Raw genomic sequence first — 24061 nt, forward strand, 5'->3', positions numbered from 1 at the left:
TAATTATCGTTCTGAATTGTAGGAGATTTCACTCGCTTTTTACCCTCGATGTCTCCTTTTGGAGTCACTGGAGAAATTTATGTTTGCTTGTTTATTTTTTTTTTTTAGGTTTTTAAATTCTCTGGTCACATGCCTGACTTGCTGCTTCTCAGAAGATTTCTCTCTACCTTACTGCTTTGCATTCTAGGCTTTGGAATTCTTCATAAAGCAAGTAAAGGACTCTGCTTCTGAGGAGGGTTGCAGACTTTATCAGTTCCTGTGTCTTTTTTTTTTTTTTCCAACTTTTATTTTAAGCTCAGGGGTCTCAGCTTGTAGTGTCCTTCCCCGTTATCCTTAGTGAAGGGCCATGGGAAATAGAAATAAATTGGCTGTTGGGTGTAAAGCCAAGTTATGGCTAAGGCTCCTTGAGATTTTTCTCTCTTTTCTCTCTTCTTTCTCTCTCATCATAACCTAGGTCTACACCATCGTAAGTGATGAGAAAGTATTTTGAAACATACAGAATACTATACGTGAATATGGCATAAACTCCTGAAATGAACACTTGACAGTAAGGAGAACTTGCCTCTCTAGAGCTTTGATCTTGGCTAATTCTATAATGTAATGAGCTGCTGTCCTGCAAAGGATCATCAGGCTCAGCTTTTCTCAAGTCACAGAGAATTTAGTTCACTTCAATAAATATGAAATGAATGACTGCTGTGTGTCACTGAAACCGCAAAATTGCAAAGTTGTAACTGAGACAGTGAAAGAGATCTGACCTACCAACTCCATCTTCGTTCTAACCTCTAAGCTGTCCTTGTTCATTCATGGGTGTAGGCTGAACTAACTTGGGAGAAACTTAGTTTATGGTTTATAGTTGAAAACAATGATGATAACGGACCTTTCCCAAGGCAAATACCCTTCTTGTCTGAGGACTAGACTGCCTTTGTATGATTAACAAATTAGCCATAAGATTAGAAATTATGGTTTAGGAGTCATGTAGCTTGAGGCTACAAGATTCTGACCATCTCTAAACTGCTCCTAACATCAGTGGTTGAGATATTTCGCAGAACCTGTGAGTCCGAAATTGGTGGGTTCTTGGTCTCACTGACTTCAAGAATGAAGCCGCGGACCCTCACGGTGAGTGTTACAGTTCTTAAAGATGGTGTGTCCAGAGTTCGTTCCATCTTATGGTTGGATGTGTTCAGCGTTTCTTCCTTCTGGTGGGTTCGTGGTCTCACTGGCTTCAGGAGTGAAGCTGCAGACCTTCGCAGTGAGTGTTACAGCTCTTAAGGTGGCGTATCTGGAGTTGTTCTTTCCTCTCGTCCAGAGTTGTTCACTCCTCCTGGTGGGTTCGTGGTCTTGCTGGCCTCAGGAGTGAAGCTGCAGACCTTCACGGTGAGTGTTACAGCTCATAACAGCAGTGCAGACCCAAAGGGCGAGCAGTGGCAACATTTATTGCAAAGAGCGAAAGAACAAAGCTTCCGCAGTGTGGAAGGGGACCTGGGCAGGTTGCCGCTGCTGTCTCCGGCAGCCTGCTTTTATTCCCTTATCTGACCCCACCCACATCCTGCTGATTGGCCCATTTTATAGAGAGCTGATTGGTCCATTTTACAGAGAGCTGATTGGTCCGTTTTGACAGGGTGCTGTTTGGTGCATTTACAAACATTTAGCTAGACACAAAAGTTCCCCAAGTCCCCACTAGATTAGCTGGACACAGAGCAATGATTGGTGCATTTACAAACCTTTAGCTAGACACAAAGTGCTGACTGGTGTGTTTACAGTCCTCTAGCTAGACATAAAAGTTCTCCAAGACCCCACCTGACTCAGGAGTCCAGCTAGCTTCGCCTAGTGGATCCCGCACCAGGACCATGGGCGGAGCTGCCCGCCAGTCCCGCACTGTGCAGCTGCACTCCTCAGCCATTGGGCAGTCAATGGGACCGGATGCTGCAGAGCAGGGGGCGGCACCTGTTGTGGTGGTTCAGGCCACGCAAGAGCCCACCATGTGGGGGCTCGGGCATGGCGGGCTGCAGGTCCTGAGCCCTGCCTGGCAGGGAGGCAGCTGAGGCCCAGAAAGAATTCGAGCATGGCGCAGGTGGGCCGGCAGTGCTGGGGCACCTGGTGCACCCTCTGCAGCTGCTGGCTCAGGTGCTAAGCCCCTCACTGCCTGGGGCCGGCAGCGCTGGCTGGCTGCTGAGAGTGCAGGGCCTGCCGAGCCCGTGCCCACCTGGAACTCACGCTGGCCCATGAGCGCCGCACGCAGTACCCGTTCCCACCCATGCCTCTTCCTCCACACTTCCCCTCAAGCAGAGGGAGCCAGCTCCAGTCTTGGCCAGCCCAGAGAGGGGCTCCCACAGTGCAGAGGCAGGCTGAAGGGCTCCTCAAGCATGGCCAGAATGGGTGCTGAGGCCAAGGAGGTGCTGAGAAGGAGGGAGGGCTGCTAGCATGCTGTTGCCTCTCACCTGCACTTGATGGAGCAGCTGGCACCGCCAAGATCAATTAACTGTCTCATCTGATCTTGTGGCTCCCACCCAGGAACTGACTCAACACAAGAGGACAGCTTAAATTCCCTATGATTTAATCTCTGACCCAACCAATCAGCACGCTCAACTCACTGGCTTTCCCATACTCACCCAATTAGCCTTAAAAACTCTGATCCTCGAATGTTCAAGAAGACAGATTTGAATAATAATAAAGCTCCCGTCTCCCATGCAGCAGACTTTGTGTGAATTACACTTTCTCCATTGCAATTCCCCTGTCTTGATAAATTGGCTCTGTCTGGGGAGCAGGCAAGATGAACCCATTGGGCAGTTATAGCACTGCCTATGGTAAAAGTTAATAAATGAAAGAATCTACATAGCTACTTCCCTGAAGGAGGAGTGACTGCCACATAAAGAAATGACATTGTGATATAATGCGGGGGTCCATCCCGCAGACCCTGACCCAACGATGGTTGAATAAAGTACGCTGACACACAGATATTCTGCTTTGCCTGTCCAACTGAGTGTCCAAGCCCTTAGTAGCAGCCAAGGCCCCAACTAACCAGCGAGACTCGCATTTATTCAGTAAAGGTTAATTGACAAAGGCTTGAGTCAACACCAAAAAAGAGTAATTGACATTGCAGACTTCCCAAGTAGAAAGCAATTAGGCACCGGCAGTAGAAAAGGTTAGTCTTAAGACCACATGAGTAAACAAGTTAGTTAGATAACTCCCCACATTCCTCTGTTTCTACTCTAATTTATTTAACTAAAAGTAAGGGGACTAGTCTACCTATAGCCAGATTTATTACCCAAGTTAAGCAAACTCTCAGGCCTTCCAAGAGGGTTTGTGGCTATTATAACTAAAATTTTTCCCACCAGCCTGACTGAACCCCCACAATATACATCCTGGAGCCCAGGGGAAGGACAATTTCTCCAGCCTGAGTGAGTCATAGATATCTATCTGGTGAAATGGTGGCTCTGTTAATTCCCCATAAGATTAAATAGTACATGAAGAAACATAAGAAACAAAGGTGAGATGGATAGCAGAAGGAAAAGGCCTCTGATTATCCTTAATCAAGTTTTAGGGATGGCCATCTCAGACCCTCTGAATAGATAATAAACTCTTACTTTGTGATATATGATGAAGGCCTTGCCTAGACCCTGCTTCACCTGGATTCCTATGTTGCTTATCTACCTAGAGTAATGGTAATTAGCACTATAATTTACTATTATTCCAATGTGCTTCAGTTTATATCTTAGTCTTAAGACCACATGAGTAAACAAGTTAGTTAGATAAACTCCCCACATTCCTCTGTTTCTACTCTAATTTATTTAACTAAAAGTAAGGGGACTAGTCTACCTACAGCCAAATTTATTACCCAAGTTATGCAAACTCTCAGGCCTTCCAAGAGGGTTTGTGGCTATTTATAACTAAATTTATAAACTATAAATTCTCTTTTACTTCCCTATAACCTTGATCTCTATGTATTGATTGCCCCATTTTACATCAGAGAAAGCTGTAGTTCCGAGAAGACCACAAAGCTGATAAGTAGCTTTATGCAGTTTTATTTTCTGCAGGTTCTGTCACCCACTGTGCAGTACAATAAGATATTTTGAGATCAAGATGACTGACTAGAATAATTCAGCACATGCCTCCTTCACAAAGAAGCATAAAAACAGCAAATAGATAACCACATGTAGAATTAAGCATCTAAAGGACACTGGAATTCAGCATAAAAGTGATGAAGACCCTCTGAATCACAGAAACTCAAGATGGCAGCTTAGAGAGGGAAGCAAAGCTGCCAGCCTAGATTGGCTCAGAGCCGAGAGAGACTCCCCATTGCAGGGAAAAGGTAAGTGTGAGATGTCCAGTAGTCCACATTTTTTACCACAGATGCCTACAGTTTGAACTAAAGGAGACCACTCAGCCCTTACAGAGCCTCATATAAGGAGCTGCCTGAACCCATACAACTTCATTATCCCAGAAAATAAATCTATGTTGAGTTCCTCCAAAACCTGAGACCAAGTCTGGTGCAGCATGGCAACATTTTGAAAGCAAAGCTACCACAAGTGTACATCCTTCCCAGGGGCCCAATAACCCCCACATTTTCACATTCCTGGGGCCCTGTGACATCACCCCACATTCCTCCACAGGGCTGCAATGATGTGACATCAGCTGGACCAAGTGGTGATCAGTGTCCCTGGCCCTGCACCCTGGGGGACAGGGAGTACAGCACATCAGGGAAATTAACCCTAGGACATAGAGGTTCAAAGCAGATGCTTTCTAGAACCTGAGAGCCACATGCCTGGTGCAACCACTACCAACAGCGACAATGCCCCCTCCAGTGGTGGAGCCACCATATATTCATGCATGCCACTCAAGAACTAAAAAACTACCCCATCCAGGTCCTGCCATCACCACTTTCAGCACTAACGTTCACTGTCCCTCAGAGGCCTGAAGATCAGCTCACCCAGTATACCTCTCCCCAGCAAAATTTCCCCACAGCCTTCACAAGCAACTGTATCCCAAGCCACTGAGGAACTCACAGACACTGTTGACATATTGATTATAGCCAAAGAAATCATATGAAGACTACAACTACCCAACTGATACTAAAGATATATCTACAAGAAAAAGTCTTTCCATATGAAAGTATTTAATAAAATTCAAAGAAATGACTATTAGACCAGTTGAGGTGATATTAATGTAGGGACAAAAGAACATGAAAAAGAAAGGAAATATGACACCTCCAAAGAAACACAATAATTATCCAGTAACAGACCCCAAATAAAAGATAATGATTAGAATACTTGAAAAGCAATTGAAACTAATAATCTTAAAGAAACTCTGCAAGATACACAAGAACACCAATGGACGGAACAAAGAAATAAGGAAAATAATTCACAATTGGAATAAAAAATTCAGCAAAGATATAGATGCCATAAAAAAGAATGCAACAGAAACCTTCGAACTGAATAACTCAATAAATAAAATTAAAAGTATAATTGAGAGCTTCACTTACAAAGAAACCTTAATCAAGCAGAAAAGAGAATTTTTGACCTTGAAGAGAGGTCCTTTTATGGATGGAAAGAAGGAAAGAGAGAGAAGAAGAAGAAGAAGAAGAAGAAGCAAAAGCAAAGAAAGAAAAGAAGGAGAGAAAGAAAGAGAAAGAAAGAAAGAATAAAAAAGAAACAAGAATGAAATAAAATGAAGAAGCTCTGTATGCCATAGGGAACACCATTAGTGAGCAAATGCATTTTGGGAGTTCTTAAAGGAGAAGACATGTGAAAATGCATAAAAAGATTTATATAATAAAATAGCAGCTGCAAAAAAATTCAAGTCTTGCAAGGCATATAAGCATTCATGTATTGGAAGCTCAGACTTCCAAATAGATTTAGCCCAAAAATATTCTCTCCAAGGTACACTATACTTAAATTGTCAAAAGTCAAAGACAAAGGGAGAATTCTCAAAATAGAGAAAAGTGGCAAGTCACACACACACACACACACATATATATAGCACTGTGTGTGTGTGTGTGTGTGTGTGTGTGTATATATATATATATATATATATATATATATATATATATATATATATAAAGAAACTTCCCTCAAAGTAACAACGGATTTATAAGGAGAAACCTTACAGGCCAACTGAGAATAAGATTATCTATTCAGTGTTGAAAGAAAAAACATAACTGCCAGCCAAGACTACTGTATCTAGCAGAGCTAACCTTCAGAAATGAAGAAGAAATACATTATTTCTTAGACAACCAAAAATTGAGGGAGTGGACTGGACCTACAAGAAATTCTACTATCATGAAAACATACTAAAGCATATAGCTCATTGGTAGAGCAGATATAAAAATGAAAAAGAGAAAGAAATCAAATATTATCACTAGAGAAAACCATCAAACCACAAACAATAAGAGATAAAAAGGGTATGCAAAATAATCAGAAAACAATTAACAAGATGATAGTAGTAAGTCCTCACTTATCAATAACAACCTTAAATACAAACGGTTTTTCCCAAAAAGATATACACTGACTCAATGGATAAAAGCAACAACTATATGCTGCCTATAAGGAACTTATTTCAACTGGAAAGACACATAGACTGAAAGTGAAGAGACAGAAAAAATATTCCTAACAAAAACAAAAACCAACATTTAAAAGTAGTTATATCAAACAAAATAGACTTTAAGTCAAAAAACAAAAAGAGACAAGGAAATTCATTAGGTAATGATAGAGTGATCAACTCAGCCAAAGGATATAACAATTGTAACTATATCTGCACTCAATACCTGAACATCCAGATATATAGAGCAAATAATACAAGAGCTAAAGAGAAAGACCATAATACAACAATAGTTGGAAACTCCAACACTCCACTTTCAGCAGGGGACAGATCTAGACAGAAAATTCATAAAGAAACATTGTACTTAGACCAAATGGACCTAACAGATGTTTACACAACATTTCATTCTACTGATGCAGAATACACATTCTTCTCATTCAGCACATGAAAAATTACTCAGGATAGACCACATGTTAGACCACAAGACAAGTTTCAACAAATTTTAAAATACTGAAATAATACTAAGTACCTTTTTACACCACCATGATATTAACACTAGAAAGCAATAACAAGAGAAACTTTAGAAATGGTACAGATACATGACAATTATACAATATGCTAATGAGTGATCAATAGGTCTATGAAAAACTTAAGAAGGAAAAAAACAATTTATTGAAATAAATGCAAATGGAAATATACTAAAACATATAGAATATAGCAAAAGCAGTGCTAAGAGAGAAGTTTACAATAATAAATGCCACATCAAAAAAGTAGAGAGATTTCAAATAAACAACCTAATGGAAAATCTTAACAAACAAGAAAAGCAAAAATAAACCAAACCCCCAATTAGTAGAAGGAAAGAAAAAATAAAGATCAGAGCAGAACTAAATGAAGTAGCAACAAAAAATAAGACAATATAAAAGATCAATGAATTAAAAAGTTTATTGTTTGGAAAGATAAATGCAATTAACAAACCATTAACTAGAATAAGGGATAAAAACAGCCAAATAAATAAAATCAAATAACAAAGGTGACATTATACCCAATCCTAGAGAAATCCAAAGAATCATTATAGATTATTATGAATAACTATGCACTAGCAAATTGAAAAACTCAGAGCAAATGAATAAATTCTGAGGCACATATAACATACCAAGAATGAACCAGAAGATGTCAACAATTTGAATAGACTAATATTGAAGAACAAAATTAAATCAGTAATAAAATGTCTCCCAAGGGGGGATAAAAAAAAGCTCAGGACTGATGGCTTTATTGCTAAATTCTACCAAAGTTTTAAAGAAGGACTAACAGCAAGTCTCCTCACACTATTCCAAACAGTTGAGGAGAAAACTCTTTCTAATTCATTCTATGAGGCAAGCCCTACTCTTATACGAAAACCGGACAAGAATGCAACAAAAACCAAAGTTCAGGTCAACGTCCCTGATAAACACAGATGCAAAATTTTTCAGCAAAAACCCAACCACATCCAAAAGCATGAGAAAAAGATAATACACCATGATTAAGTGAAATTTATACCAGGGATTCAAGGATGGTTCAAGTTACACAAGTCAAGAAATGTGATACATCACATCAACAGAATGTTCAAGAAAAATTATGTGATCATTTCAATAGATGCAGAAAAAGTATTTGATAAAATTCAACATCACTTCATGATAAAAACTCTCAACAAAATTTAGATTTAAGAAACATACCTCAATACAATAAAAGCCATATATGAGAACCCACAGCTAACATCATACTGAATTAGAGAAAGCTGAAATCTTTTTCTCTAAGAACTGGAACAAGACACAAATGCCCACTTTCACCACTTTTATTCAGCATAGTACCAAAAGCCCTAGCCAGAGCAATTAGGCAAGAGAAATAAATAAAAGACAAACAAATTGGAAAAGAGAAACTCAAATTGTCCCTGTTGGTCGGGCATAGTGGCTCATACCAGTAATCCCAATGTTTTATGGGGCCGAGTGGGGCAGATTGCTTGAGCCCAGGAGTTTGAGGCCAGCCTGGGCAACATGACAAAATTCTGTCTCTACTAAAAGTACAAAGAATTAGCCAGGCATAGTGGTGTGCACTTGTAGTTCCAGCTATTCGGGAGGCTGAGGTGGGATGATCACCTGAGCCCAAGAGGTAGAGCCTGCAATCATCCATGATTGCACCACTGCACTCCAGCCTGGGTAACAGAGCAAGACTGTTTCAAAGAAAAAAAATTGCCCCTCTTTGCAGAAGACATGATCACACACACACACACACACACAAACACACACACACACGTATATAAAGAGTCCACCAAAAAACTGCTAGAACTAATAAACAAATTCTGCCAATTGGCACAAAATCAGCATACAAAAATCAGTAGCATTTCTACACACCAATAACAGACTAGCTGTAAAAGAAACAAGAAAGTAGTCCTACTTACAATAGGTAAAAATAAAAACAGGAGAAAGTTTAAACAAGGAAGTGAAAGATTTGTACTACAAAAACCACAAAATACAGATAAAATTTGAGGTACATAAAAAACATAAAGACATCTTATACTCATGAATTGGAGGAATTGCTATTGTTACAATTAACATAATATCCAAATAAATCTACTGTTTCAAAGCAATCCCTAACAAAATGTTAATTGAATCTTCAAGAAAATAAAAAAGGCAATCCTAAAATATGTTCAGAATCACAAAATACCCTAATAGCCAAAAGAATACTGAGCAATAAAAACAAAGATAGAGACATTATATTATTTGATTTCAAATTATATTACAAGGCTATAGCAAACAAAACAGCATGCTACTGGAGAAAAAGTAGACAACATAGACCAATTGAACACAACTGAGAATTGAGACATAAATTCACATATTTACAGCCAACTAATTTTCAGAAAAGATACCAAGAACATACATTGGGTACAGGACAGTCTTTTTAATAAATGATTTTGGGAAAACTGGGTAATCATATGCAGAAAAGTGAAACTAGATCCATATTTCTCACAATAGACAAAGGACAACTAAATGTAAGGTCCAAAACTATAAAACTGCTAGAAGAAAAGCCAAAGAAAATACATTGGGGTATTAATCTGGGCACATATTTAATGTGTAAGAGTTCAAGAGCACAGGTTACAAAAGGAGACCATATCAAACTAAAAAGCTCCTGCACTGCAAAGGAAACAATTAACAGAGTTAAGAGAAAACATGTACAATGGGAGAAATGATCTGAATACACATTTCTCAAAAAAAAAGACATACAAGTGGCCAAAAAATATATGTAAAAAACGTTCTACAACACTAATCATCAGGGAAATGCAAATCAAAACCACAATATATATCATCTCACCCCAGTTAGAATGGCTATTATCAAAAAGATTTTTTAAAATGCTGGAAAGAATGCAAAGAAAATGGAACTCTTATACACTGTCAGTGGGAATGTAAATTAGGACAGTCACTTGGAAAACAGTCTACAGTTTTCTTAAAAAAACTAAAAATACAGCTACCATATGACCCAAGCAGTCCCCATTACTGGCAGTTTATCCAAAGGAAAGAAAATCAGTACATCAAAGAGACATCTACATCCATGTCTGTTAATAGATGAATGGAAAAAGAAAATGTAGCATATATACACAATGAAATATTATTCATCCATAACAAATTAAATCTTGTCATTTCTGGCACCATGGAGGAACCTGAAGGATGTTGTGTTAAGTGAAATAAGTCAGGCATGGAAAGATATTAAATATTTAATGTTCTCACTCACATGTGGGAGCTCAAAAAAGTCAAACACATAGACACAGAATAGAATTGTGGTTATTAGTGCCTGGGAAGCATAGCAGGGAGGAAAGGATAGTGAGAGGTTGGTTAATAGGTACACAATTACAGATAGATAGGGGAAATAAGTTCTAGTGCTCTATAGCACTATAAAGAAAATATAGTTAATAATTTATTGTATATTTTCAAAAAGCTAGAAAACAGGATTTTTAATGTTTCCAACACAAATAATAAAAGTTTGAGGTATCTGATGTGCTAATTACCCCAATTTAATCATCACATATTTAAACATTACATACATTTACAAAAATATTACCATGTATTCCATAAATATGTACAATCACTGCATGCCAAATAAAGGGAAAAAAGAAATTTTGAGAGAGACCAAATTCACATAACTTTTATTGTATTATAATATTATAATTGCTTTATTTTATTACTAGTTATGTTTATTAATCTCTTTCTTTGCCTGATTTATAAATTAAATTTTATCATAGGTATGCATGTATGAAAGAAACAGTATAGCTAGGATTCAGAACCATGCTTGCTTTCAGGCATTCACTGGGGGTCTTGGAAGGTACATCTCTTGGATCAGTGGGGACTGTGAAAGGAAGAAACAAACTGTCTGTCCCACTATACTCTTAACCACAGAGAACACTTCTGATACCAGATGTGTGGAGTGTTTTCCCCACTCACCAAACAATTCCCTAGGGATACCAACTGAGCATCCTATAATTCAGTTCCATTTTGGTATTTTCTACCCGGAGATAGCATCAGATCCCACAGGTTAAAGACTCAGTCCCACAAGAGTATTGACCCCACTTTAGATGCCAATTGCAAGTCCAGACTTCTAGGACTTCTCACCGACCAGCTATAAATTAGGGGTTCCCACAACCTGCTCCTCAGGTTTGATCATTTTCTAGGGCAGCTCACAGAATGCAGGAAAGTAGTTTACTAACACTTACCCATTTGTTATAAAAGGATTAAATTAAGGAACAGCCAAATAGAAGAGATGCACTGGGCCAGGAATGAGTGAGGGGGGATGAAGCTTCATTGTCTTCTCGTGTGACACCAACTTCCATATGTTCAGCTGCCCAGAAGCTTTCCAAATCCCATTGTTTAGAGTTTTTATGAAGGCTTCATTACAAAGGCATGATAAATTAAATCATTGGCCATTGGTAATTAACTCAAACTTCAGCATGCCTCTGCTACCTAGAGAATGGGAGGTGGGATGTAGGGCTGAAAGTTCCAATGCTCTAAGCACATGGTTGGTTCCTCTGGCAACCAGCAACCAGTCCCTATCCTGAGGCTATCCAGGACTTCCCCAGACATCAGTCATCTCATTAGCATGCAAAAAGACACTTACTTTGAAACTTGCAAGGGTCTTAGGAACTGTGTACCAGGAAACAGGCTGAAGACAAATGTATATTTTTTATTATAAATCACATCTATCACAGTAATATCTGGAATTTAAAAACAAATCTAACTCTTGAGCTCCACAATTGCTCCATCACCGGGGTTTGGATCCTGCCTTGCTCTTGCCATCTTTTCCAAGCCTAGAACACCTGAAACACTACAGCCTTCACCTTTTGCATACTCTTCTGAGGGCCTCCTGTGCCTGCCTGTCTGATTACAGCTGCAGGTGTTGCCTGCTGGGTATTCCTTTGCAAGAATGTGTTTGATCCATGATTTTAAGTCCTGGGAGTTGAGCAAGCTCACCACTGTTAAAAGAAAGCTAGACAAATTAAATTTTACAGAGTTTAATTCAGCAAAGAATTATTCTCAAATAGAACACCTCCTGAACTAGAACAGGCTACAGAGCAACTCTAAGGCTGCCAACTGTCAGATAATATTTATGGACAGAAAAAGGAAAGTGACATACAGAAAATGGAAGTGAGATGAAAACACAGCTGGATTGTTTACAGTTCAATAATTGCCCTATTTGAACACAGCTTCAACAGCTCGCCACCTATGATTGGCTGAAACTCGGCTGCCATAATTGGTTGAGACTTGACTGCTGCAATTGCCTGAAAGTTGGTAGCTGTGATTGGCTGAAACTCAGCTGCTGTGAATGGCTGAGACTCCCCTACTTGTTAAAAAGAGTAGGTTGCAGTCTGTTTGCGCATGCAATTAGGTTGCAGTTCACTATGTGTAGGGAAATCTTTAGGGCAGACTTAAAATATGTAAGGAGGCAGCTAACTGATCCCCAGTTTTAAGTTATATCCCCTCAAATATAGATATTGAGTCCTATGGAGATATCTTTAAATATAAAACAAAGTTTGTAAACAATATCACCTATAGAACACATTGCAGTATTCAAATTATTGTATTATAATAATTTATAAGGGTTATAATCAAGAATTTTTATATACTGAAATGACCACACTCTTTCTTTGCTTATGCAGGAAAATGACTCTTTTCTTTAATGTCCAACGGAATTGTAATGATCTGACTCCTCAGACTAAGTGCTTTCTCAGAACTTTACGCCTACATAGACCCTTTTTTTTTTTTTTTAATCCTACTCAGGGCCAAGCTAAGTAAACATCATGCCTTATTCAGGTTGAGCCTAGGGAACTCAAACTGCTTCAGCCAGCAGTATCAGGAGTCCAAGAAGTTAGCCCAGAATAGCAGCATCTGCATCAACTGGGAAGTTGTTAGAAAAGCACATTCTCGAGTTCTATTCCCAAATGACTGGCTCCAATACTCTCGAAGCAGATCAAACCATTTGTATTTTAATTAACTCTCCAGGTGATTCTGACAGCTACCAACACTTGAGAGCAATGGGTTTAAGGTGTAGTAAGCACTGTGATTCCTGTATCCTATCAGCAGAAGGGGGCCTATGGGAGAATGGAGGGGCCAGTTATCAACCCAGTTTGGAGGTTTTATGAAGGCTTCTGAGACAAGATGATACTGAGGCTGAATTCTAAATGATGGATATGAGCTAGCCATTGGGAGTGGAAGTGACAGAACATTCTAGACGAGGGAATGAACACAGTAAGAGGATAGATTGCTTAGAAGATTACACACAACTCTTGAAGGGCATTGAAGGGCAGATACAAACGAGGTATAATAGGAGATGAGACTAGAGTGGTGAAAAGGAGCCTTGTCATAAGACAAGAAAAGCAACATGCCAGAGTGTATGTAGAGATATTGTTTGTCCACAGCACGTGGAATGACATATATGAGAAAACTGGAACCAAGACTGTGAACTGGTCTATAGAGGATACGCCAAAGTAGGAATGGTGGGGACTCTGTGAAGTCATCAAATTAGGAGATAGAAAGCAAAATCAACATAGTTGGTGTTTAATTTGGCTCCTGAATTTTGAAATTACAGAGTCATTCACTGAGGTAAGAACCTTAATTGGAGAAATAGGATTGGAGGGAAACGATATTTATATTTATAGACACTGAATTTGAGATACCTGTAGGAAGTTTTATATCACTTTTATATGTAGATATCCATTTCATATACTAATAATTATAATATAATGATAATTATAATCAATAATGATAAAGCAACAATGAGAGTTTTAATTTTTACATATATAAACTTATTTAATCTTCACATCAGGAGTGAAAATTGATTTAAAATTACTGTTGAATAATTTATTTTCTCTGAAGAGAAAGATTACCTGCTAAAAGTGAGGAAGTAGGTAGATGAAAACTCTAGGTAAAATACTTTATAGAATTGGCTTTTCTTTGTTATTTAATTTATCACATTTATCTTTCCCTGCACACACTCGAGTTGTAGCAGCGTTTTTGCAGTTTTCCTAAAACAGAATGGTAATTCGTGCCTCTTTGCTTTTGCAAATGCTGTTAATCTTTCCTAGAAAAGGAGGGAGCATGAGTCTTCGCTAAACTTGCAACACATGGGCTGCACTCTTCATTGAGCCTCTTCAAGGAGAAAGTGTATAATCTCTGAAAATCATGCAAGTTCTAAAAGGCTGAAGATGGGATTTCAAAGAAAATGGCATATCAAAATGTTCTCTGTTGTGCTGAGCCAGTATATGTATGTGCAAACTTTGTGTTTTAAAGGCCAATAATTTGTGCTTATGGATCATCTCTCCCTGAATAAATATGGCAAAACTCCATGAAGCTGAAATATTGCTCATTTCTCTTTTATAAAAAGGTTATACATTTCATAAGACAAATCTTCCAGTCAACAAATTCTTATTCCCAGGGCACTATTACTCTGATAAAATTAATAAAGCTTTAATTATAGAATCCCAAAACACACAGACAAGATTTACTTAAAGTTTTTTTTTTCTATACTGTTTTGTTTTTTAAATAAACTTTTCAATCCAGAACAGCTTTACATCTACAGAAAAATGTGAAGATGGCACTGACGGTTCCCATACATACTACACCAAGCCTGCCACACATCAGAATCCTGTCTTAGTATGGCATATCTGCTATAATATAACTAATGAACCAATATTGATACGTTATTATTAACTAAAGTGCATACTTTATTCAGAGTTTTCCAGTTTCCACCCCTGGCCTTTTTCTGTTTTAGGATTCCATTCAAGGTACCTTATTACATATATTCCTCAGGTCTCCTTAGGCTCCTCTTGGCTGTGGTAATTTCTCAGACTTTCTTTGATTTTGATGACCATGGAAATTTTGAAGGATAGTAGTCAAGGGTTTCACAGACTGTCCCTCAATTGGGATACATTTGATGTTTTTATCATGATTAGACTGGGGTGATTTGAGGTAAGAAGACCACAGAGGTAAAGAGCCATTCTTATGGCATCATATCAGAAGAACATACTAACCACATTGACCATAACCATTGATATTAACCTTGACTATCTGGCCTAGGGAGTATTCAGGTTTCTCCTGTGCAAATGTATTCTCTCTCCCTTTCATACTGCACTCTTTCTAAGAGGTGGGGCGGGGGGACACTCCATCTTCTTGAAGGCGAAGCATCTGCATAAATCATTTTGTATTCTGTTGCACAAGAGATTTTCCTGTTGTTACTTATTTATTGATGCAATGATTTTTATCAGTACAGATTCTTTTTTAAATTTATTTGAAGAAATAAATATATAAAATAAATAAATAATATATTTATGTTTATTTATAATTTGAGAAATTATTTGCTCTATTTGAGAATAGTTCTTTCCTGAACTAAACTCTGTTACATTTAATTTGTCTAAAGTTTTCTTTTAACAGTGGTGAACTTGCTCTGCCCCCAGGACTAATAAATAATATTATAGGCTATTTATTCCATATAATATTCCAAATACTTTATGGAATATTTATTCTATGTTTTGGGTTTTAATCCCCAAACTACTCCATTTATTTTGTGACTCAAATTACTCTAAACTTCAAACAACTGAAGCTCCTTCAATTGACTCCTGTGCCCACTTCACAACACACACCCGTCATTGGGATTATTTTCAGCTCTTTCTTAGTTTCTGGCACTACAAGACGCTCCAGGCTTCTCCTGAATTCTTCCTGCTCCAATATTAGACTCAGTCATTTATCCAAGGAGCCCTTGGTTCCTTTTATTAGGGAATATTGGAAAGTAGAATCTGAGCACCAGGTGTGCTAGTTGTTAAATTCCAATGTACATGTATATCAGGATCAGAATTATTAACCTGTGCCCCATGGGAAATAATTTTATTAATTAAAGTGTAGTGCTTATGTGCAGTTCTTTTTGCCTTTAGACTTATAGACTGTACTCACTTCCAAAGTTCACTTAGGTCAGCACCTTTTTTCCCATCCCATACAAATTTCATTCATTTGTTATATAGTTAGATTGCTCGCCTCATCCTGCATTCCATCCTGGGATTTCTCTACGTCCTAAATGCTTAAAACATTGCCTATCTTTTTGTTATGAATTCTATAAGTTTTGACAATGCATTGTGTCATGTATCTACCATTTGAGTATTAGACAGAATAATTTCGCCATCCTAAAAATTCCCCCGTCCTCTACCTAATCAACCCTCTTGCCCTCCCTCTTGAATTCCTAGATGTCACTATAGTTTTGCCTTTATAACCATTATTATATAATAGTTTTTCTTTTTCCAAAATGTCATGTAATTGGAATTGCATTGTATGTAACCTTTTCATATTTGCTTTTTTTCATTTATCAAATATGTTTAAGATTCATCCATTTTTAAGGATTTATTTTTATCACTAAAAATATTCCAAATTATGGATGTACCACAATTTGTTTACCCATTTATCTATTGAAGGATGTCTTAATTGCTTCCAATATCTGGGGATTATAAGTAAAGCTGCTACAAACATTTATGTCCAGGTTTTTTGATGGGCATGATTCCAAATGCTGGAAGGTTTACTCATCAAAACTGCCTTGATCTTCCTCCTGGTCTCCTTTTCTTCAGTTCCCTGCAGAGCCTTCAGGGTGAAGTGCTGCCATGGTCCCCTGCAACCTCTCTGCTGATGAGGGTCTGTGGCCCTTGCCTGGAGCACTGTCCCCATTCACCTCCCAGGCCTCCTCCACCTTTCCTGCAAATCGATGAGAGTCCTGTTCAGTGTCTTGTACACCAGTGACTCCCAGCCAAATCTGGCACCAGAACAGCTCCTCCCAATATTGGTTTGTCAGATGGAGAGTGGCTTCCACCTAGGCTTCTTATAGGAAATGCACCTCAGTCTCCCAGTTACAGTCAGCAGCCTGCTGCCTCCCGGTCACTTGCTCCTTCACACACTGCCTGCCTTTTATTCTTCTTTGCTTTTTCCAGTATCCTCTATGCCTTATGCTTTAGCCGTTGATCTATTTTCCCATCAATTATTTTTATGCATGACACACTTCCAGGGAGCTCTGATTCTAATATAAACATTTTAACAGTGCCACACTCTAAAGGCAGAAAACACCCTATCCATCCTCACCCCCCATAACCACCTTCTCTCATCCAGAAAATACTATTTTCCCTGCTTGTTGGCTTTTAAATTAAAGATCTGATTTCAGATTCCAGTCATGCCTCTTATTAGCTGGGTAACGTTGGGCAATGTATACAACCTATCCAAGCTTCAATTTTTCTTTTGGAAAATGGAGATATTATCCATTTTATGAGTTTTTTATTGAGAGTCAAGTATGCAAATATCTTAATACGTGCCTGGAAGAGTCATTTGAATAAATAATAGTTCTTTTCATTTGGTCTCTTCTCATAGAATTTCATTTTTTCAATATTCTTATCAAATGCTTCTCTTACCTGTCCTCTAAGGCTGTAATATTTAAGGAGAGTGAATGGTAGTGAATGGAGAATAACTATTCGCTAAAGCTTTTCAGTACCTTGCCATGATAAAAAGGAGATTTCTTTGTATATAAGGCCTTTGTCACCTTTGAAGGTTCTACCATGTAGAAGGTTGATGGACCACTAATTTTCAACAGATTTATATGTAACAGATATGGTGGGCAAACTCAGCACTAAATGCCTTAAAATATATTATTATATGTTTTATTGCAGATGCCGTCAATGACATTTGCTTGACATTCAGTGAACACCTACTTTATGCAGGGCACCACAAGGGGCTCTCTAATACATAATCTAATTTAATATAATTGTTATAATCCTGTGTATAGTTAAAATATTTAATTTTCTCAGCATTACAAAGTCAGCAAATGACAGAGCTTAGAACTGAGCCATGTGCATAATACATGTTCAAAACATATTTGCTAATCAATTATGAAAAGTGCTGAGATTTGATGTAAACACTGGCCCTCTCCATTTCCATATTCTTTCACTGTGTCACTCTAAAACCTCCCAGGAGGTGCTATCTAAATTTACTACTAGAAAGGTTGAAAATAACAGTGTCAAGGCACATGACTTACCACGACTTGACTTGCTGTTGTGGAGGAGGGTGGGCTGATAGCAGAGGATTCCATTGGTGTTAGGATTCAGAAAAGCTTGTCAAACCTCCTGCAGCTCCCTCTCCCTGCTGGAGCATTTTTTTATTTCCCTGAAGATAACAATGGCATGTGGATTCTCTCTGTAGGAGTCCTTTGACATTGGTACTGCCCTTTCAAAACATTTTTTAAAATATGCCGTGAGGACTAAGACTTCTCCTTTTGCATCTGTGACGTGATCTTTTTTGATGTTGCAGAGGGCGACTAACAAGGACAACCACAATACAAACACTAGTAGGTAGAGGATGGGCTACTTCATTTACATGTGTTTCTTCTGTAATTAAATTCTATTAATAATGCTGGATGTTTCATATCAGCACCTACATTTAAAGGAAAGAAATCTAAATGTTAAATGATAGGAGCAGAAATTGAGTCCACTTCTATTTTCATATTCCAGTCCATGCTACTCAGAGAAACACTTGGGGTGGAGGACGGTGGATGGAAGAGTTTGTGCTTCCCTTTTAGGACTTTTACAGAATTTAAAAGTCTGACTCTGTACAGCCAGACTGACAATACATTCAGTCTTGCCCCTTTTCATGAATCCAATCATTATTTGTGTGGGAAAAGCTTTCAAAGCCTCAATTACACCACCAGGTATAGTGTGTCCACTTAGAAACAAGCCAGATTCCACTGTTCATGAGATGCTTCTCCACTCTGGACACTGGAGCACCTACTTTAGTTCCCTGCCAGATAGATTTACATTGTGTCTGCAACTCAGGTATTGCTTTTCCTAGACATGCTCAGCACAGGTAGGAAAATTTTGCCCTTCATTGTGTCTTATATAAAACAACCCAACTGCATGGCACAGCTGCCACATTCAAGAGTGTGGCAGAGGTAAAGGGCGTGTCCAGGCAATACTTGCTCAATGGAAGGAAAGACAACAAGGTCCTCCCCAGGAAAGGCTAGTCCCTTTTTGCCTATTATTTGAGAAGAACATCATGAGAAAACCACCATGGGCAAGAAGGTCTCTTACAAATTTCAGGCCCAGTTTAGAAAATGTAAGCCTCAGCACAGAAATCACCATGACTGTGACTTCTGAATGTTAAGAATTTCTGCATTTTTCTTTACTAAGAGTGCGAAGTCTGAAACACCCCAAGTTGCTGGGACATCAAAGAGCCCCAGAAATGATTCAGACTTTTAATAAATTAGCTTTAGATAAGACCATAAATTAAATAAATCTGAGAATAGTTTTTTTCCTATTACTTGCTTTTCAGACAAATTTAGAATTTACGTATTAAAAATTCTCTAATTTTCAAGAAGATTTAAAAACCCAGAATCAATAAAGGAAAAGACTGATAAATTTGATAATGGAAGAATAAAATAAGAGCTAACGTAAAATGACTATAAGTTCTACACGATGTTACAATTTTCTGTGTATAAACTTATTTATCCACATCAAACCCTATGAGTTTTTTCTTATTATACACATTTTAAAGATGAGAAAATTGAGGCACAGATAAGTTAAATAACTTGTCCAAGATGATAGTGCTGGTAAAATAGAGCTATAACTCAACTCACAGACTATTACCTGTCAAATATTTTGTATGGCACCAAACAAATTCAAAAGGCTAACAGCAAAGTGGGAAATTGTAATCATAACTTAATAATAGATAAAAGCCTAATTTCCTTAAATGAAAATAACTTATACAAATCCATAAGGAAAAATATGAACAAGCTAAGATAAAAAATGGTCAAAAGTTGTAAACAGGCAGTTTACCATTTTCAGAACAATGACCAATAAGCATAGGAAAAGATGTTCTGCATCAGCTGCCTCCAAAAGAATGCAAATCATAACAGCAGTAAAATAAGAATTTTTATCTTATCAAAAAAATAAAAAAGAAAAGAAAAAATCTTAGTGATTCCTTCTACCAGCAACTGTGTGGGGAGACAGGGCCTCTCGTACAGTTGATGGGGGTGTGAGTTGGTGCAAAATTTCTGGAGGGCAATTTGGCCACGCCTATTAAAATAAAAATGCACATAAATTTTAATCCAGCAATCTTATTGCTAAACATGCATGTTTCCAATTTGCTATACACAATATTACCAATGTAACATGTAAAAGATGTTCCTCATAGCATGGTGTGTAAGAGCAAAACCTGAAAACTATTAAATTTTGAATCAATAGGCTCCTGAAATTATGGTACATAAATATGATAAAATACTATTAAACTATTCCAATTTAGCCAACATGCAAGGTAAATGATTGCTTTTTTTAAAGCAGAGAACAGTGTATATAATCTGATTTGTTTTGTGTAATTTCCTTCTATGTTAATGAATCTCATAAGTGATTTTAAAATGAAGAGGAAACCCCTGGATCTGAAGGCACTGGAGAAGAGGGAGACCTCATGTCTATCTCTGTTCAATGTACAGAGAGAGATCCCTGCTCTCTCTGTACCTAACCTGCAAAACACTTTCCTTGAATCAGGGTAACAGAAGACTGAACGGTCCTCAGCGCTCACATAGGGAGTGCTCAAGTCAGGTTGCAGAAGTTAAACCTGCAATGGTGAAGAGCTGTGTGACCACAGTCCAGGTGACCAGGACCCACCAGGGCTGGATGGCCTGTAGCTCACATTTACCTAACGGTAGAGAGAGCAGTTGCAATTAGGCAGGCTCAGCCACAGGGTGAAGGTGGCTTTCCTGGGCCTTTTTCTCATGCACATTGACCAGTGCTGAGTCCTAGATCAGACTCCCAGATGCCAGATGTTTTATATCAGAGCAAGGATTTCAAGGAAGAAAGAAAGGCACTCTTGCAGAGGGTGGTTTTGGATTTCAAAGATATTTAATTTGAAAATGAAAGATTTATGAACCTTATATCTCTTGACAATAAAATGGGATGCAGAAATTAATTATAACACATTCAAGTAAACATATTCATTAGATGGCTAGATGTAACATTTTAATGTTTATTTTTATGTAAATTTTATGTTTGTTTCAGTCTTTTTGGCTGAAAAACACTTAACACAAATAGGTAAGATGGACAGATGTTAACAAAAATCAGTAAAGGTGGGTGGGAATATTTGTTGAAACTCAGTGGTCTATTGGGTGATTTAGGGTTCACACAAGAAGCCACTGTTGAGTCTCAGCTTCGGAGATCATGCTCTTCGGGAAGGCTGTGATCAGCTGCAATCTGACCTCAGGTTCTTACTGGATTCCCCATTCCTTCTAAACACTGACTTTTCTCTCAACAGGACTCTCCACCTCTTCCTTTAATCCCTGTCAACGGGAGCCTCTCACTGCCAGACTGATTAATGTTTCTTTCTGTATATTTGGGAGCTTCCTCTCTCTCATAATAATGGGACCATCTACAAACATTATTTTTTTAATTATTTATTTTCTCATAAATGCAGGTTTTGTTTCATCTGATTTGCCTTGAGCTACTCTTCTTCAAATTCCACAAAGACATAAATGCAAAAGGTCAAATAGATTGTAATTTTTCATTGCGTCTTCCAATGCATGAGTCATGGTCTGTAGTTTTACTATCATTGTAATCCTCAATTCCTGTTAATCTGGGATTTAAAGAAAACAATCAACAGGAATTAGAGGAGTCACTACTGGGGCTCAGGAAAACTTCAAGCATTGTAGACTAGAAAGTCGATATAGCATACACATTTTTAAATCAGTGGTTGCATGGAATAATAATAGTTCCAGTGACAACTTTAACTTGTCAAAATGAGAAGACAATAGGGGTAATTATTCAGGCAAATCATTCTTACTGTTAATCCCTGACCCATTGACTAATAAACATTTTTGTTGACTTTTTTTTCTTTTCTTTTTTTTTGTGGGAGGGGGACAGAGTCTCACTCTGTCACCCAGGCTGGAGTGCAGTGGCCCAGTCTCGGCTCACTGCAAATTTCACCTCCTGGGTTCAAGCAATTTTCCTGTCTCAGCCTCCAGAGTAGCTGGTATTACAGGCGTGCACCACCACGCCCGGCTAATTTTTATATTTTTAGTAGAGACGGGGTTTCGCCTTGTTGGCCAGGCTGGTCTCAAACTCCTGACCTCAAGTGATCCACCGAACTCAGCCTCCCACAGTGCTGGGATTACAGGCAAGAGCCACCACGCCCGGCCCATTTTTGTTGACTTTGAAGAAGAAAAAATAAGTAGGAGGCTCGTTGCTTTGAAACATATCTTGGAATTTTACTGATAAATATCAGCAGTAAAACAGAAGTACGTAGAATATGTTTTACAATATGTAGCATAAACAGCTGCCTGGTCATAAAAGTGGAGTTTGAAAATATGTGTTGTTTTTTTTTAAGCAGTGGAAGCAACTAAGAAAATTCAAGAATTTCTTCCTGTTGTTTTAATAAAGATTGCCAAGTCATTCAATTTTTCTTTAAAAGCAATCTGCAAACTATTCAATTGTAAGCTTAGCGCACTTATATGCAAGTAAAAGGAAATATTAGGAACTATTTTTACAATTACCTCTACTCTCCTCAGTTGTTGAGTTGTTGGAATTTTTTTAATGGCTGACTTCGATATAGGAATGGGAAATAACTTAAATGATAATGTGTTCTGCAAAACTGCCTCTTTACCTCTGCTGCATCTATGAAGGATTCCTCATTCTAACAGCGTTATACTCTCAACATTTGTTAATGTCCTCCCATTCCACTGGGACATTTTCACAATTGACATGATAGCAGCATGTTTTTTTTGGGTGCTACCTTGATCAGGTTAACAGAATTCTTAAATTCTTTTCCAAGCCTCAACATTCACTTGGAATCTATGACTTTATACCAGGATAGAGTGTTCTATATCTAACACAATCCCTTCATTTCAGATTCAAGGAAACTGGTGCAGAGATTTCTAGTGACTTACCTAAGGTCGTACAGAAACTGAGGGGGTAGCTATTGTGCCAAAATTCAGCTATATGGTCTCCCCTCATAGCTCTAAGATGTAATGTAATGGCCTCATGAGTTCCTGAATCTGTGACTATGCTCCTGTATAAAAAAATATAGCTTCGGTTACTTGACAAATCAAAATTTTGACCTGTTATTAAAAAAAAAAAAAAAACAGACCGAGTCCTGAAATGTAAGTTGTGGTTTTATTAGACAGGTTTGGTTTTTGTGACTACTTCTCCAGATAGGTAAACTTCTAGGAGTTGTGAGTATAAATATGGAGTCTTGCACAGGGATGACAGGAGAGAGAAATGGAATTTCATTTGCAAATTTCATGTGGGAAAAATGACAGAGAAGAAAGATTCACAATGTGAGAAAAAAAGCAATAAAGTCCCTCATTACCATAATATCCCTCATGCCAAGAGCAAGCTCCCACTCCACTCTTAGCTAAATTTCAATTCTGTTGACTCTAACATTTTTACTGTGGAAGCGCATCCCCAGTACTGTAAGAGAAGTGATTAAGGAAACATATTTCTTTTTACAGAAATTTCCTGAACATCAGCTTTAAGGAATCCATCTCAAACTGTCAAATCTCTTTCTACTTGGTACAAAAATATGATTCATATCACATTATATAAAGTATATTGTATTATAAATGGATCAGTGTTTTCAATATGGCTTTTTTGAGCTATGAGAGGAATTGGAGAAGCCTTTTCCATTGAGTCTGAAATGTGTTTTCTGTAAAGAAAGGTGAAGAGAACAGTTTAATCTTACAGAGGGAAACCATGAACATATTTTTATTATATATTATGAGCTGAATATTTTAAGAATAGAAACAGACTCACAGATATCTATCTATCCATTATCTGCCAGGGAAATGCAGATGAAGGAGGGAGAGACAATGGCTGGCTACTGGCAGTACCATGCTCACTGAAGCAGCATGTCTCTCTGCCTTCAGTGTCTAGTGCCTTTCTCTGGAGTTCCAGCTGGGACTCTCCTACTTCTTCTATAAAAGGATTTGGAAGTGTAAGGTGGCCAACAGG

This window comes from Homo sapiens, chromosome 2 (assembly GCF_000001405.40).
Source record: "Homo sapiens chromosome 2, GRCh38.p14 Primary Assembly".
Classification (NCBI taxonomy): domain Eukaryota; kingdom Metazoa; phylum Chordata; class Mammalia; order Primates; family Hominidae; genus Homo; species Homo sapiens.